Source organism: Homo sapiens, chromosome 3 (genome assembly GCF_000001405.40).
Source record: "Homo sapiens chromosome 3, GRCh38.p14 Primary Assembly".
In the NCBI taxonomy this organism is placed as follows: Eukaryota; Metazoa; Chordata; class Mammalia; order Primates; family Hominidae; genus Homo; species Homo sapiens.
Genome location: NC_000003.12, coordinates 25,736,696 through 25,753,935, shown reverse-complemented (window position 1 = coordinate 25,753,935; position 17,240 = coordinate 25,736,696). Strand labels below are relative to the sequence as shown.

Genomic DNA, 17,240 nt, shown 5'->3' with positions numbered 1-17,240 from the left:
CAGTGCTTAATACAGTGCCTGACATGTAAGTATTTGGTAATGGTTTTTTGTTGTTGTTATCGACCTGTCTCTACTTTGCAATATGCACATTTAACCCATTCACATTTATTCTAATTGCTAAGATGTTTAAACTTATTTCTGATACCTTATTTTGTGTTGTCTATGTTCTTGCTTTTTTTTCTTTTCTCCCTGTTTTGTTTAGATGAAGTTTTTTTTCTATAATAGGTTTATTCCTTTAAGAGTTAGGAAGTTAAATATAATCTTTTTAGTCTTTTAATTATTGACCTGAAATCTGTAATGTAAGTTTTTAATTTTATATTTTTCTACCAACATCTTCCCATAAGACAAGAACCTCTGTTCTGCTCCCTTCCTTGCTACCTTTCCTATGAAAAAATTGAGATTTTGCTTTCCAGTTGTGATTATCTATACCAATCGAAACTTGTACTGGTGCTTTTATTTAGATCCTACTCCCAAGTATGTATTTATTTTTAAAAATTTATGTAAGCTATATTTTTTTTGGCTATAATAACTTTCCTAATAATTCTTTTAGATAGGATTTGAGAGTGATATACTTTCTGTATTGTTACATATCAGAAAATATATTTATTTTGCCCCTGTACATGATTAGTTTAACTGGGAATGAATTCTGTGTTCCTAATCATTTCCCCTCAGATTTTCAAAAAAAATTGCTTCATTGTTTCCAATGAAATATCTGACATCAAATAATTTTTTCTTTGCGTGTAATGTTTCTTCTTACTTGAAGACTCTTAGGATTTTGTTTTTAGCCTTGCTATTGTAAAATGTCATCATTATATGCTTAGCATTTGTTTTTGTTTTGTTTTCCATACATACTAGCTCTTCAGCTATGAGAAATTTATTTCTGTTTTTTTTTGAGCAGTTGCCTTCTTCCATTGTTTTTACTGTCTTTCTGGAATTTCCCTTAACTGGATGTGAGAAGTTTTGGATTTATCCTCAATGTCTGTTTGTTCTTTTTATCCTCATTCTCAGAAAATGCCTTTGGTTATTAATTGACTGATCACTCTTTAGCCATGTTTATTCTACCGTTTGACACCATCTATGCTTTCTTCTTTATTTTATATTATTTATTTTATATTACTTATTAATTTATTTTTGAGACTACATTGCCCAGGCTGGGTGCAGTAGGGCAGTCACAGCTCACTGTAGCCTTGACCTCCTGGGCTCAAACGATCTACCCACCTTAGCCTCCTGAGTAGCTGGGACTGCAGGCACACAACACTATGCTTGACTACTTAATTTTTTTTTTTTTTTTTAAGAGATAGGATCTTGCTGTATTACCCAGGTTGGCCTAGAACTCCCTACTCAAGTAATCCTTCCACCTTGGCCTCCCAAAGTGCCTGGCTTCTTCTTTATTTTAATGTTTAAATTTTTATATCTAGCCAGGCGTGGTGGCTTATGCCTGTAATCCCAGCACTTTGGGAGGCTGAGGCGGGCGGATCACAAGGTCAGGAGTTCGAGACCAGCCTGGCCAATATGGTGAAACCCCATCTCTACTAAAAATACAAAAATAAGCTGGGCATGGTGGTGGCACCTGTGCTCCCAGCTACTCAGAAAGCTGAGGGAGGAGAATCACTTGAACCCAGGAGGCAGAGGTTGCAGCGAGCCAGGATCTCACCACTGCACTCCAGCCTGGGCAACACAGTGAGACTCTGTCTCAAAAAAATAATAATAATAAATAAATAAAATTTTTACGTCCAAGATCTATAGTTGAGTCTTTCTCTGAATATAGTGTACTATTGAAACTTTTTAAAGTTTTTTCTGTATTTGCTGTCATTGCTACAGGATTAGTTCTTCTGATACTGATTCTCATGCATCTCCCCCACAGTTGTTGTAGATCCATATGTATTTGAGAGGTCCTGCCAGCTTGTCTGTGAATACTGCATTTGCTTCTAACAGCTGTGGAGAAGGGCAGTACATGTTGCACAGTGGGATGTGCCAGTGGCAACAGTTCTGAGCTTGGTTACTCCCCTTTCCTTTTGTGACTCTAAGTATGCACACTTACTGCTCAGAGGCAGACCTCTTTGTTGATGAGGTGACAAGGAGGGAGAAGCCGAGATAATTAGCTGTTCCTCCAGAGTCCAACCACTCTTCCTAATGCTTGCCCTGAGGACACTTCCTATTCTGTAGATCCTATGGCTTCTCTGCCCTTGGGATTATTTTGGAAACTTTTTTTACTTTTCATCACCATCCTCTCTGGAGGTTTCTTCCTTTAGTCCTTTCATATTTGCCTTTTCTCTTTCAGGAACTTCTCAAAATTCCTGGTTCTTTAAGAGCACACCTCTTTTGCTACTGCTGTACATTACAGGGATTTAAAGTGGAAGGGGCCATTAGATGCATAGATCAGAGCTCTGTATTGATCCATGCTTGTATTCAAGAATTCCGCATATCCTTATTTAAATATATCCTTAATAGTATATACAAAAGGAAAAAAATAGATAGATCTTAGGCTCTGACACAAATGTGGCTGTCTCCTAATACTAATGTTATGAAGTTTATGGGTATAATTATTATATTTAAGTGAATCCATACATTCCCTTCTATCTGTAAAATCATAAAACCACAGTTTTTTTATTATATATTATTTTTGTAGCATATGGTGAAAAGTTAATTTCAGTTTTTTTTTTTCCTATTAGGTTGCTGCTGACTCAGCCATTCTAGAAGTTCTTCAGTCCAACATTCAGCATGTGCTGGTCTATGAAAATCCTGCTCTTCAGGAGAAAGCGTTGGCTTGTATTCCGGTCCAAGAACTAAAAAGGAAATCACAAGAAAAGTTATCGAGAGCTAGAAAATTGGATAAAGGTAGTAGCTTTACATAATCATTTATTGCTAAATGTAAATCATTGCTAAATAAACAGAAAATACTGAAATACAACTGACCCTTGAAGAACATGGGTTTGAACTGCATGGGTCCACTTATATGTGGATTCTTTTAAACCAAACGTGGATTCACAGGATGCAAAACCCATATACGGAGGGTCAACTCTTTATATACATGGGTTCTGCAGGGCTGACTGTGAGACATGAGTATGTGTGGATTCTGGTATAGGTGGGGGTCCTGGAACCAATCCCCAGCATATACTGAGGGACAGTTGTAGTGCCTTTTGCTCTTATACATTGTTTTACAGTGTTATACATTATAAATACTTAACCTATTTCAATTTGAGTTTTTAAGAAGTACAATAATAGTATAATTTTATTGCATATACCTCATGGTCACATATCACCTTTTTTTTCAATTTTTTAATTGAGGTAAAATACATATAACAAAATTTACCATCTTACCCATTTTTAAGTGTACATTTCAGTGTTATTAAATATAGTCATAATGTTGTTCAGCCATTACCACCATCTATAGCTTTTTTTATCTTGTAAAACTGAAACTATACTCATTAAGTAATAATCCTTCCCCAGCTTCCAGCAACGACTATTCTACTTTGTCGCTGTGATTTTGACTATTCTATCTTATATAAGTGGAATCATACAGTATTTGTCTTTTGGTGACTGGTTTATTTCACTTAGCATAATGAACCTCAGGGTTCATCCAGTGATATGGTTTGGCTCTGTGTCCCCACCCAAATCTCACCTTGAATTGTAATCCTTATAATCCCCGTGTGTCAAGGGTGGGACCAGTTGGAGGTAATTGAATCACGGTGGTGGTTTCCCTGATGCTGCTCTCATAATAATGAGTGAGTCCCAGGAGATCTGATGGTTTTATAAGCATCTGGCGTTTCCCCTGCTTGCACTCATTCTCTCTCCTGCTGCCCTGTGAAAAGGTGCCTTCTGCCATGATAAGTTTTGGGAGGCCTCTCCAGCCATGTGGAACTGTGAGTCAATTAAACCTCTTCTTTATAAATTACCCAGTTGCAGGTATTTCATCATAGCAGCATAAGAACAAACTGGTACATCTAGGTTGTAACATATTGCAGAATTTCCTTCTTTTTTTTTTTTTTTTGGCAGTTTTTACAGTTTTATTTAAACACAAAACATGCACATGAGCTGTCTACTCATTTTCTTCGCTGTGCAGCCTGGCATTGGGGTTGGTGACTCTGATGGCCAGCTGGGTGGCTCTTTCCATGATGGCTTTGCAGTTCTTGGAGGAAACATTGTGAGCAATCTCAGCACAGTAAGTTTTGTTGCACATCAGCAGCACTTCAAGCTCCTTGACGTTGTGGACCAGGAACTTCTGGAAGCCACTGGGCAGCATGTGCTTTGTTTTTTTGTTGCTCCCATAACTAATGTTGGGCATCAAGATCTGGCTCTTGAACCTTCTATGAACCCTGTCGTCAATACCTCTGGGTTTCCGCCAGTTACACTTAATTTTTGACATATCAGTCAGACTGGTGCCGGATGAACTTCTTGGTTCTCTTTTTGATGATCTTGGGCTTCACAAGGGGTCTGAGGGCGGCCATGAGGCCGAAGAGGAGATGGCTGCCACCTCTGTAGGCAGTGCTGAGGAGGAGAGAGCTTCCTTCCTTTTTAAGGTGAATAATGTCCTGTTTATGTATATATCACATTTTGCATATCCATTTATTCATTTATTCATGGATACTTGGGTTGTTTCAATATTTTGGCTATTGTGAATAATGTTGCTATGAACGTGGGTGTTTAAATACTTTAGTCTGAAATCCTGGTTTCAATTATTTTTGGTATACACCCAGAAGTGAAACTGCTGGATCTTATGGCAATTCTATTTTTAATTTTTTGAGGAACCACCATACTGTTTTCCACAGTGACTGTATCATTTTATATTCCTGCTAACAGTGCACAAGTGTTCTAATTTCCCCTGTTTTTACCAACGCTTATTATTTTCTGATTTTTCAATAGTAGCCATGCTAATGGGGATGAAGCGGTATGTCACTGTAGTTTTGATTTGCATTTTCCTAATTCATGATATTGAGCATTTTTTTCATGTGCTTATTGGTCATTTGAATATCTTCTTTGGAGAAATGTTTATTCAAGTCTTTTGAACATTCTTTTTAAAAACTTTTTTTTTTTACCTGAATACGCATTTGCAGTTTAATCATTGGTATGTGTATATTTTTAGGTAAAGTAGAACTTTAGCCCACAGAATATATGATAGCGTCATTAGTGAATTTAAATTAGTGAATTTTAATGTGAATCTAACAGAAACCATATTCAGAATTAATCCATATGAATAGACCATTGACTCACTTTTATGAGTAGAGAGACATTATTTATTGATTAAGAGTAGGTTTTGGAGTCAACTGTCTTTGTGTAAATTCAGCTCTGCTACTTCCTGTGCATCACTGAGCAAGTAATTTAATCTCTATGACTCAGTTTCTTCATGTAGAAATAAGAATGATAATTTTTAGAAATAAATGAAAAAATACATGTAAAAGCTGGGCATGATGTACTGGATAATAGGAACTGAGGTAAACAGGCCTTTCATGTAAGGTTTTATGCTAATCTAGCTAGGAATTAATCTAACTAGAGTTGTTTTCTTGTTTGCTTTAGCCGTAGGTATCAGAGGCTTCAAATTCCTCCAGTGTTCTTGTCGTCTCCCCCATTGTCTTTAGGCTTCCCTAAGAACTCCTCATTAGAGTCTGCATTTATCCTGCTTGGTGTTCGTTTAGTTGTAATCCATTGTTATTATACTGGAGCCCTATTGGTGTGATGGTAAGGTATCAAGGAGAAGGTTCTATAATCTTTTGATTAAATCTCAGTATTTTAGTGGGCCTATATCTCTGGGCCTGTGCCTTTCACAAGTGTTTGTTAGCCTTTTTACCCCCATAGGTGAGACAGGAAGGCTACAAGGGGCTGGAGTCAGGGAAATATATGTCCTTCCCCCAGTTCAGAGAAGACTCTGGTAAAATCTTTTTCCCTGGAGAGGCCTTAATTGTGAAGAACACTCTGGGTATACCTCACAATTCTTACTCTTCCCATCTTTTCTAGAGCCACAAAGGATTTTTCTTGGTTCTTCATTGTGAAAACCTGGTGGGCTTCCTGCAGACAAAATGCACAGAAGTGTGGGGACCTCTCCCAAGACTGAATTTCTTACTCCCAAGCTAGTCCATACTCAGCTTCCAGCAGTTTGTCAAAATTGCTATTTAAATGTCCTTACCAGTTTATGGCTCTAGTGACTTCTTTTCCATGTAAGCAGATTTTGACTGTGATTCTCTATATTTGTGTATCTTTTTGGACTTTGGGGTGATAATTCACTCTGTGACCTCAGTTCTCTAATGGGTCCAAGAAAAGTCACTGATTTCAGTTGAGCTTTTTATTGTTTTAAAGGTGAGAGTATTGACCTCTGCTTGCTAGAAACTGGAAGATGAAACCAGAAATCCATCTGAAGGCTTAACTATATGTGTCTCTTCCTTTTTTAACCATTTGACCAATTTTCACAAATGTCATTTATATATTTTGCTACCCTTTGTATTTTGGTAATTTTTGTCTTTTTAAAAATATTACACTATGCCATTTTTCAATTTTTGATGACTGGCTTGGGCCTTAGATTTACTTCTGCTACAGGCCTGCTAACCTTAAGACAGTTGTTCTCTTCTTGTATTAACAGTTTTTTTCCTGTGTGTACAATAAGAATGTTTATTAATATGTGATTATACAGGCCCTGTCCAGCTTCAAAGTACTGTGGTCCTTTATATGATGACTTATAGAAATGCCTGTTTATCAGGTACTTACTGAACATGTTTTGTGTTTGAGTCATTGGGCTGGGCCCTGCAGGGGAGAGACAGGATAATAATATAGCCTTGCCTTAAGAAGCAGCTAAATAGAAGATGAGAATTCAAATATACAGATCAACTGAGTGTAAAGCAGAGTCCAACAAATGTAATGTATGAAGTATAATTTTTAAAACATTATGTTGTAGACCAGCTTGGCCAACATGGTGAAACCCCGTCTGTACTAAAAATGCAAAAATTAGCCGGGCTAATTTGCAGTTGCAGATGCCCATAATCCCAGCTACTCGGGAGTCTGAAGCAGGAGAATCGCTTGAAACCGGAAGGCGGAGGTTGCAGTGAGTAGAGATTGCACCACTGCACTGCAGCCTGGGCAAAAGAGCGAAACTCCGTCTCAAAAAATAAAAAATAAAACCATTATGTTGCTAAATGAATAAACTTCAGTGAGAAATAGCATAGAGACAGAATGTTCCTGTTTGTGTCCATCATATTTCCTCTCTCTAGGCAAATAACAACCAGGAAATTGCTCAAGGAGCAAAAATCTACAATAAAGAGCATTAGTTAGGTGAACATTATGTTTATCCTGATGCATTTGTCCATCTGTCCTCACAGTGGGAATGGTCTTATCAGTGGACCAAGAATCCTTCAAGTCTATTAGCTAAGACTTAAAGTCCATTTCCCATAAAAATCTGCTGATGTTCCCTGCTAACATTTGCTCCAGCATTTTTTCTTTCTAATTATAAAGGTAATACAGGGGTTGTAGAAAATTTGGAAAATAGGGAGAAGACAAACTATCAATAACTTCATCACATTGGAGTATGTGTATTTAAGATCTGTGTATATATTCTTTCACGCTTAAAAAGTTTTAATTAAAATAGGAAAGAAATGACACAGCAGATTAGTAGTGAAAATTATGAAAATCAGTAAAAGATTTTTTTTTAAGGGCATGAAGGATGAGTGGGATTTATAAAATATGTCAAAATACATACTAAGGGATTGGGGATTTTCTTCCAAGTGTAGTGATCAACATGCATAGAGGCAGAGAAGGACAGGCTCTATTTGGGAACAATGAATAATACAGTTAGACTGTGTGTAGGGTAGGGTGTATATAAAGCAGTGGAAGATCAAGTAGGCTGAAACCATATTTTGGTTGACATTGAATTTCAGACAGAGCAGTGTATACCAAGTTCATTTTTAATGTTTTCAAAAAAATTAGTAAAATGAAACAAAGCATATTTCTAATAAGGTTTGAAATAGTAAAGACCAAAGAAATTCAAAGGAAACACGTCTTGGCCGAAAGACTAATGTTATATTGTGACTATAATTGAACATACAGCAGAAATGTTACATAACCTTATTCATCAGAAAGCAGAAAATAATTTCTCAGGTGTTCTCGAATAGGTAATTCAGCAGGATTGACTATTGAAACTCTGAGTGACATCAGACTGTATTTAAGGAAGATTAATCTAGTAATAACTTGTGAAATGAATTAAAATCAAAAGAGTACAAGGAGAGAAAAATTAAAACACAATAGTAATCTAATTTACATAAGAGGGATAAGAGGGTGAACAGAGGGTTGAGATTACAAGGGAGAAGATGGATGTGAAAGTTGTTGGGGTTATAGAATATGTGGAATTTGCAGTCAATAGGATAAGGCATCATGTATATATAAGGAAGATGTCAAAGATGACTGGGTAACTTTGAATCTAGGCAACTAGGAAATTAAAGGAGTCAGTAGAAACAGGTTTTAAAGGGAAAGGAAGAGTGAGTTGAGGTGCCTACTATCTGGACTGCCAAGTGAAAACATAGGCCTGGAAATTCGATAAGAAGTCAAGCCTTGAAATACACTTCAGGATGATAGGTAAAGCCATGCAGGTAAATGAGATTGCTAAAATTGAGAGGACAGGGTGGAGAGGTAGGATTACAGAGGTTCTAGAAAACAGTGTAGCACTAGCCACATATGGATATTTACATTTAAATTAAATGAGATGAAAAATCAAGTTCTTCAGTCACACTCAGCACATTTCAGCTACTCAATAACCACAAGTTAGTGACAACCCTACTGGACAGTAGGAATAGGAATTATTTCCATTATTGCTGAAAATTCTATTGGATGGCGATATTTTAGAAACAGCAGGATATGGGAAGAGGAAGAGTAACAAGTGAAGGAAACTTATATAGTGAAATAAGTGGTATGGTAGGCATAATGAGTATATCAATTAGGATTAGGTTGTGCTATGAGTAAAATGACTGGTGGCTTAGAGATTATTTTCTCATGTAAGAAATTATGGAAGTAGTCAGTCTGGAGCTAATGGTGAGCTATCATCAAAGACCTAGGTGCCTTCTGTCTTTTCGGCTCGGATGTATATGTTTTCCATCCTTCACATCACCTTGTAGTCCAAAATGGCTGCTGCAGCTCCAGCCATTACATTTCCAGACCAAACATCAGGAAGAAGAAACAGAGAAAAGGCATAAAGGTTTTATCTCTAATTTGAGCTTCTTCTCTTGAAGTAGTCTTCCTTGGAGTAACATGAAGCTTAGTCATTTAGCCACACTTAGCCGCAAGGGAAGTTGGGATCTGTAGTTTTTTAACTGGTGCATTGTCATCCCTCCAAAATTGAAATTCTATAAATGAGGAAGAAGTAGCAAGTGGATATTATATGGCCACCATCAGTCTCTGCCCCAGTGAGTGAATGGCACTGAGATGATGACGAAGCCCCCGCTGGCCAAGTTGGTGATTTTCTTTCATTAGTGCAGTGCACTGTTTTTTCCTTTCCAGACAAAAATCATATTCTGGGTCTATGGACTGGGGAAAGTGTTTTGGTTTGATGCAGAAATGGGGACCTTGTGGCACTGCCAAATGAGATAGAGAAGCATGATTTGATAGCTTTGGCCTGGTAGACTGAAGGTTTGTCATGATTGCATGTTCCAGATACAGGTAAAACATCTTTTTGGAGGAGGAAGAACCCATTTTTGAAAAGTGGTAACAAAATATATCTTGGCCTACTAAATTGTATGTGAAGATATGAGATGGAGAACATGGATGAGGCTACCTCTACTGATGTTTTTACCCATTTTCTCATTCTCTTGTATATTGAAGTGGTTTTCAGAGAATGGAGTTAGGTCTAAACTTGTTGATTTTATTTTGTCACTGATAAGTTACTAGAAATCTACGTTTATATGGTATTTTTGAAGATGGTAACTTTAGAAATTTGAAGTCTTAATTATATTTTTGAAATAAACCCAGTATTCACAGAATTTAGCATCTAAATCAGGCTTCCCTTATCTCTGAGATTTCTGAGCTTTCATCATACAGGAATCTACTTTTATTTCTCTGAGCCCCTAGTTAAGGATATTGTTTAAATGAGGAACATTGACCCTTAATTGGGTGTTACTGTTTAGTAGTCCTACTTTCAGCTGGATTATACCTGGAGTATGTAACAGAAGTACAAATACTCTGTTTTCCTTTCCTTTCTTCTTGGTCTTGATAATGACTATTTGGTGAACAATTACAATTCTAAGTAATATTTTGAGGCATGTTTGTTCAGTCCTTTCATCATTCAAATATTTATTAAGCATCTAGTGTATAGCAAGCAGAACACTAAGTGTTGGGGATATAGCAGTGAACAAAACTAAGTACCTACCATTATGGAAAGAGACACACACACACACTAGTGAAAAGTGCTAGGAAGACCAATGGGAGAACAGAGTGAGTGACGACTAGTAAGATGCTGTTTGATACAAGATTTTCAGGGATGGCTTCTCTAAAAAGCAATGATTTCCCTTTTAGGTAGAAGGCATGAGCAACTGCAAAGGCCTCCTGAGGTGGGAGTGAGGTTGGCAAGTTTAAGAGATGGCAGGGAGAGCATGGTGGCTGTAGCCAGTGAACAAGACAGGAGGAGATAGGGTTTGAGGTCAGAGAGGGAAGAGGGTATTTAAGTTTCCTGGGGCTACTATAACAAATTACCACAAACTTGGTGAAATAAAAAGAAATTTATTCTTACAGTTCCAGAAGGCAGAAATCCAAAATCATTATCACAGCGGGAAATCGAAGTATCCCCAGAGCCATGCTTCTTTTGGAGGGGAGAATCTGTTCTTTGCCTCTTCCAGCTTTTGGTTGCTGCTGGCAGTCCTTGGTTTGTGGCTGCAACAGTCTGGTCTTAAGGCCAGCATCTTCAAATCTCTCTCTGTCCCATCTTCACATTGCCTTCTCTGTGTGTAAAATCTCCATTTACTTGCTTTTTATGAGGTTAATTGTGATTGAATTTATCCACATATTCCAGGATAATCTCCCCATCTAGAGATCCTTAACTTTATAATATCTGCAAAGACCTTTTTTTTTTTTTTTTTTTTTTTTTTGCCACATAAGGTAACTACATTCATAGGCTACAGTGATTAGGACATGGATATCCTCTGAGGGCCATTTTTTAGCCTACGACGGGGAGCCAGCTGAAAGAACAAGAGTTGGGACTTTGAATTTTATTTTGAATGAGATGGAAACCCATTGGAGGGTTTTTTAAGTCACATAATCTGGCCTGTACTTTTAAGAAGATTACTCTAGCTGCTGCATGGTAGGCACTAGACTGAGAAGGAGAATGACAGTCCTCTGTTTCTAAAACTTTGTTTTTAATGTAACTAATTCATGAATATCTTCCTGTTGGAAAGCTTTCATATTATATGGGAAACGCCAAACTCTCCCTGCCATTCAGTTCTGTTCTTTTTCATGTCTTGTCCTGGATATTTATACCTTAAATAATTATCTATAAAAATAGTTTAAGTTGTGTGGGGTTTATTTAAAATTTATCATCTCATATATATTCAGCTCCTTGGTGTTTTTCATTTACAAATATGTATTGGACAGCTTTTTAACTCCATAGTGTTTGATTGTACATACACTATTATTTATACAATTCCCTATTGATGGACATAGAGGTTGTTTCCATTTTCTCTGTTCTAAATGCCACCACAGTGGAGATTCTTGTAAACCATGTCTCCTGGCACACATGCACAAGTATTTCTCTTGGATAGATACTGAAATGTCAAGTGTGTGTAATACTTTTATATTATAATGGATCCTGCCAAATTGCCTTCCAATTTATACTAGAAGTGTCTAAGAATATTTGTTTCCACTTAATGAAAGTATTGAATTTCTTTTATGGACTTTGTGAATTTTTCTAGTGGGTTTCTTAATGTTCTTACTGATTTATAGAAGTTCTTTATGTATTTAGAAATTTATCTTTTTGAGACAGAGTTTTGCTGTTGTCGCCCAGATTGGAGTGCAGTGGCGCGATCTCGGCTCACTGCAACCTCCGCCTCCCAGGTTCAAGTGATTCTCCTGCCTCAGCTTCCTGAGTAGCTGGGATTACAGGTACCTGCCACCACGCCCGGCTAATTTTTTTTTTCTTTTGTATTTTTAGTAGAGACGGGGTTTCACCATGTTGGGCAGGCTGTTCTCCAACTCCTGACCTCAAGTGATCCTCCCACCTCAGCCTCCTAAAGTGCTGGGATTATAGGCGTGAGCCACCGTGCCCGTCCAGAAATTTATCTTTTCTTTGTTAGACATGTTACAAATTTTTCCTCCCAGAGTTCTTTAGTGTAGCTTTTGAAATTCAAAAGTTTTTATTTTTAACATAAGAAAATTTAATTTTTTTATTATTGATTTTACAGTTTGTATCTTGCTTGCCTAAGACCTTCCTAACCCAAAGTCATAAACATAAACATACTCACCTATAAACTTCTATTATTTTATATTATTCCAGAGAAAGTTTTTTTTTAATGAACTATAGTAGGGATCTGATAGATAGCTATTTGTCCTAATATCATTTATTGAAACAGTCCATCCTGTTAGAGCTGCTTTAAAATGCTAACTTTATTAAATACTGTGCATTTGCTTAGAAATCTGTCTTTCAGAATTCTTTTGTTTCATTGATCTGTTTATTCTTCACTAATACCACATTGTTTTAAATATTAGAGTTTTATAATATGTCTTGATACACGGTAGGCAAATTTACCTTATGATTCTTGCTCAAAGTTGTGTTGGCTATTTTGTGCATTTTCTCTTTCACATGGGATTTTGTAGTTAGCTTGTCAATTTTTTTTTTTTTTTTTTTTTTAATGAGACAGAGTTTCGCTCTGTCACTCAGGCTGGAGTGCAATGGCATGATCTTGGCTCACTGCAACCTCTGCATCCCAGGTTCAGGTGATTCTCCCGCCTCAGCCTCCCAAGTAGCTGGGATCACAGGCACCTACCACCAAACCCAGAAAATTTTTGTAGTTTTTAGTAGAGACGAAGTTTCACCATGTTGGCCAGGCTGGTCTCGAACTCCTGACCTCAGATGATCTGCCTACCTTGGCCTCCCAAAGTGCTGGGATTAGAGCTGTGAGCCGCCACACCTGGCTAGCTTGTCAAATTTTATGAAAAAATATTTTATAATTTTAATTGGGATTATATTAAATTATAGATTAATTTGTGGAAGGTTATCAGCTTTAGAAATATTGAGTTTTCCCTCCAGGAACATAAATATTTCTGGCCTTTTTACATTCTCTGTAGTTTTTTTTTCTGTAGTTTTTTATTTTGAAATACATCAAACATAAATACAAGAACAAAGTATAATATATCATATACCTATGACCAACATCAAGCTTTATTAGATTTTATCATTATGCTATATATGTCCTTCATATTTATGTTTTATTATCACTCTGTTTTAATCATAAAACATTAAAGATAGAGATGAGAACCCCCTATATATGTTTTTAAGATTGATTTTCCCTCTCCTTCCCTTCTTGCCAGAGATACCATGGTCTTGAATATGAACAAGAGAGATCTGTTTATGGAAAAGTGGGTATATTATCTGTCATGTTATAACTTACTAGGGTTGTTATATATACTAGAGATATGGTTGTGTTTTTATGTGTTTGGGGATGAGTATCCATGGATGGATTATATTGTACAGTTGAAGCCCTAATAGAAAGGCTAATAGGATGATTTTTTAAATGTCTGGAATTCTGTGATTTCTGCCTTTTGTGATTGTTTCATGTTTACTTGTGTATATACCTGATAACAAATTCAATGTTTCCCATTTTTAAATGTTTTTCAAAATCAAATTTATTTTTCTACCTCCCTTGTACTTCAGGATCAATTCCTAACTGACTATAGTTCCCTAAGAGGTCATTGTGTTCAGCTCACTTGTTAATGCATAATGTCAGTTAGAGGATATAAAATGGTAAATGTTCTACTGTTTTTAATGTGCAGTTATACTTGTCATTGTATTTCAGCCTAGTGCCTAATAAATGACAGTTTCTTCTTGCCTCTTATTAGTGAAAACCTTAAAATCATCTTATGTTTTCATATTTTTCAGGTTCGTATTTGAGAATAAATATGTTTGGATAGTTTAAATTTTGTCAGTTTTAGCTCTTACTTGGTCCTCCCTTAATTTCTCAGGTATCAATATAAGTGATGAGGATTTTCTTTTGCTGGAGCTTTTGCACTGGTTTAAGGAAGAATTTTTTCACTGGGTGAATAACGTTTTGTGCAGCAAATGTGGTGGACAGACTAGGTCTAGAGATAGATCATTACTGCCCAGTGATGATGAGCTGAAGTGGGGTGCAAAGGAAGTGGAAGATCATTACTGTGATGCCTGCCAGTTCAGCAATCGATTCCCAAGGTGGGTGCCCTGGATGGTAAAATCAGAATAATCTCTTAATGAAATAGTTAGAAGAGAGTTTTTACTAAATGAACTTTTTAATATTTAATTATCAGAAATATATTCCTCTAAAATACCGGTGAGCAAACCGTGGCTGGCAGGCTAAATCCAGCCGACATCCTGTTTTTGTAAGTAAAGTTTTATTAGAACATAACCATGCTGATTTATTTGCTTATGGTCTGTTTTTATGCTGCAACAAGCAGAGTTGAATAATGGTGACAGAAATGATATGACCCACAAAGTCTGAAATATTCACCATCTGTCTTTTATAGGAAATTTGTTGACTCTTGTTCTAAAGTATAACTTGAGTATAGTCATAACATGTTTAATGCTATAAATCTTGTATTACTTTTTTAATTCCTAATTTTTAACTGTCTGATAGCTAACAATACTTATAATAATGCTGAGGTATACTTTTACCTTCCATATTATCATCGGATGATTATTTTAAACACATAATTGTATTCACTCTCACAATAATCAGCATTATTATTATCAGTCTTATTAGCAGAAGTTTGTTTTAGTTAGGTGCTTCCCCTGCCCAACCTAACCTACTCCTCATATCTCTAAATTTTAAACTAAGGACATTTTAAATTTTAAATTAATTTCCATTCTTTAATTTATAAGCCTGTTTTCAGATTTTCTGAATTGGCAATGTTTATAAAGTCTGGTTGTATTATCAGTCAAGGAAAGATACCACGTTTTAAAAATATCTAATTTTTTTTAGCTTAGGACATAGTTTCTAATCATGTGCTTGTTTTAACCTCTAGCTCTTCTCTATATGGGGAGGCTGAGGCAGGAGGATTGCTTGAACCTGGGAGGCAGAGGTTGCAGTGATCCAAGATTGTGCCACTGCGCTCCAGCCTGGGCGACAGAGTGAGACTTGAGACTTTGTCTCAAAAAAAAAAAAAATTTAATTACCTAAGTTATAAATTCATTTATTTAGCTTAAGAAATGCTTGGTTAAGCATTTGCTTAACAGACTTGTCATCGCAGAGCCCATTCATTTATGCCACTGTTTCCTTTCCTTCCAAAGCACGTGGCTGACCTCTCTGCTCAGCTGCAGCACTTTTCCTGCTCAGCTCTATCAGTTCAAAACCCATCTCAACACAAAATGCAAAATTTAGTGTTCTTGAATTGTCTGGTAATTTTATAATTGGAGTAACTTCTGAAAAGAATGTTACAAATAGATCCCAAAAAACAACTTCCAAATTAGCAGGCACCTTTAAATACTTCAAAAGAGTAAAATTTTAATCAAAATGATTATTAGAAAGAAAGATAATATTTTAGATAAAATTGAATTAAACTAAGCTAAAATTTTTGTTGAGTAATTTGTTAAAGTTGTTTACCTTTTAAATACAGTGAGCTAGCTATACCACTTTAGTGCTAATGCTTTAGGCAAATTGCCTAGAGAATTTGCTTCTCCAAATCTTACATTATTCAAAACACAGATCAAATAAAAGCTCTCCTCACCAGCCACTTTCTGACCTGTTGTATTGTTTGATCACTAATCTGACCTGTTGTATTGTTTGATCACATTCTGCCATATATTTAAATTATTTGTGTTCATCCCTTTCCTCAGGATTGTGAACACCTTGAAAGCAGTACTACCGTTTAATTATTTTTCACCAAATGTTCTAACATTGTGCCTCATATATTCTAGATTTCTAAATAAATATTTAAAAACAAATTAAAGGCCGGGCGCAGTGGCTCACACCTGTAATCTCAGCACTTTGGGAGGCTGAGGCGGGCGAATCACGAGGTCAGGAGATCGAGACCATCCTGGCTAACATGGTGAAACCCCGTCTCTACTGAAAATACAAACAAAATTAGCCAGACCTGGTGGCATGCACCTGTAGTCACAGATACTCTGGAGGCTGAGGCAGGAGAATCACTTGAACCTGGGAGGCGGAGGTTGCAGTGAGCCGAGATTGCGCCACTGCACTCCAGCCTGGGTGACAGAGCAAGACTCCGTCTCAAAAAAAAAAAAAAAATTAAACATTTCTGTTTAGCATAGAGGTAATGTAAATTCTCTTAAAAATCTTGATTTTGATAATTAAGGTTTTTTTTCTTTTTAAACCAGATATAATAACCCTGAGAAACTTTTGGAAACAAGATGTGGACGGTGTGGCGAGTGGGCCAATTGTTTTACACTGTGCTGCCGAGCTGTAGGGTTTGAAGCTCGCTATGTTTGGGATTACACAGGTACAGAATGTGGAATGAGCAGAGGGTAGTAGGGCTTTGCAGGCTTGCAGGTTTGGGTTTACATTCTGAGCCCATGATTCTCTGTTACTTTTTGGCCTTGTCAGTCTGACCTTCCATTTGCCTTGTGTAAAACAGTAATAATACCAACCTTCCAGGTTTTTTGAAGGGATCACAAGAGTTTTGTAAAACACCTAGCACTGTGCCTGGTGCTTTGCACTATAAATATTCCTTTTTTTCCCCTTTATTTTTTTATTGATGCATAATAGATGTACATATTTGGGGGATACTTGTAATGCATTTATATAAATTCTACAGAGCAAATCAGTATTATTGGGATGTCTGAGATCTTAAATATTTGTCTTTATGCTGGAAACATTTGAATTACTCTCTTCTAGCTATTATGAAATATGCAGTGGATTATTGTAAACTGTAAACACCCTATTGATCTATCAAACACTAGGTCTTGTTTCTTTTATTAGCAATTTACCGTGGCATTTATAGTGATGCTGTTTATATATGGATAAAAACATGTAATAATGTACCATAGAAATCTTCATTGCTATAGGGATTACTGTAAAAAATTTAGTAAACTATAAACTTAAAGCACAGTATACAGAAATAATAAAAGTCATGTGATA

At 36.4% G+C, this 17,240-nt stretch overlaps 1 protein-coding gene and 1 pseudogene across 13 annotated transcripts in view, besides 1 other annotated feature; one reads left to right on the top strand and one right to left on the bottom strand.

Moving 5' to 3' along the window:
* The window catches only part of NGLY1 (N-glycanase 1), a 71,096-nt gene that overhangs the window by 36,104 nt on the left and 17,752 nt on the right, over nt 1-17,240 (top strand). For all 13 annotated transcript variants that reach the window (NM_001145294.2, XM_005265317.1, XM_005265316.1 and 10 more), the window contains exons 4-6: nt 2,673-2,838; nt 14,137-14,359; nt 16,481-16,602. In NM_001145294.2, the coding sequence (NP_001138766.1) occupies nt 2,673-2,838; nt 14,137-14,359; nt 16,481-16,602 (511 nt within the window). The remainder of the gene's footprint in view (nt 1-2,672; nt 2,839-14,136; nt 14,360-16,480; nt 16,603-17,240) is intronic.
* Nucleotides 1,788-2,302: an enhancer, noted in NCBI's record as "NANOG hESC enhancer chr3:25793125-25793639 (GRCh37/hg19 assembly coordinates)". NCBI's record gives its function as "activates a minimal SCP1, AML or CMV promoter by ChIP-STARR-seq in naive H9 embryonic stem cells {active_cell/tissue: H9 hESC(naive)}" and the evidence as "EXISTENCE:reporter gene assay evidence [ECO:0000049][PMID:30033119]".
* On the bottom strand, nt 3,991-4,502 carry RPL32P11 (ribosomal protein L32 pseudogene 11; annotated as a pseudogene).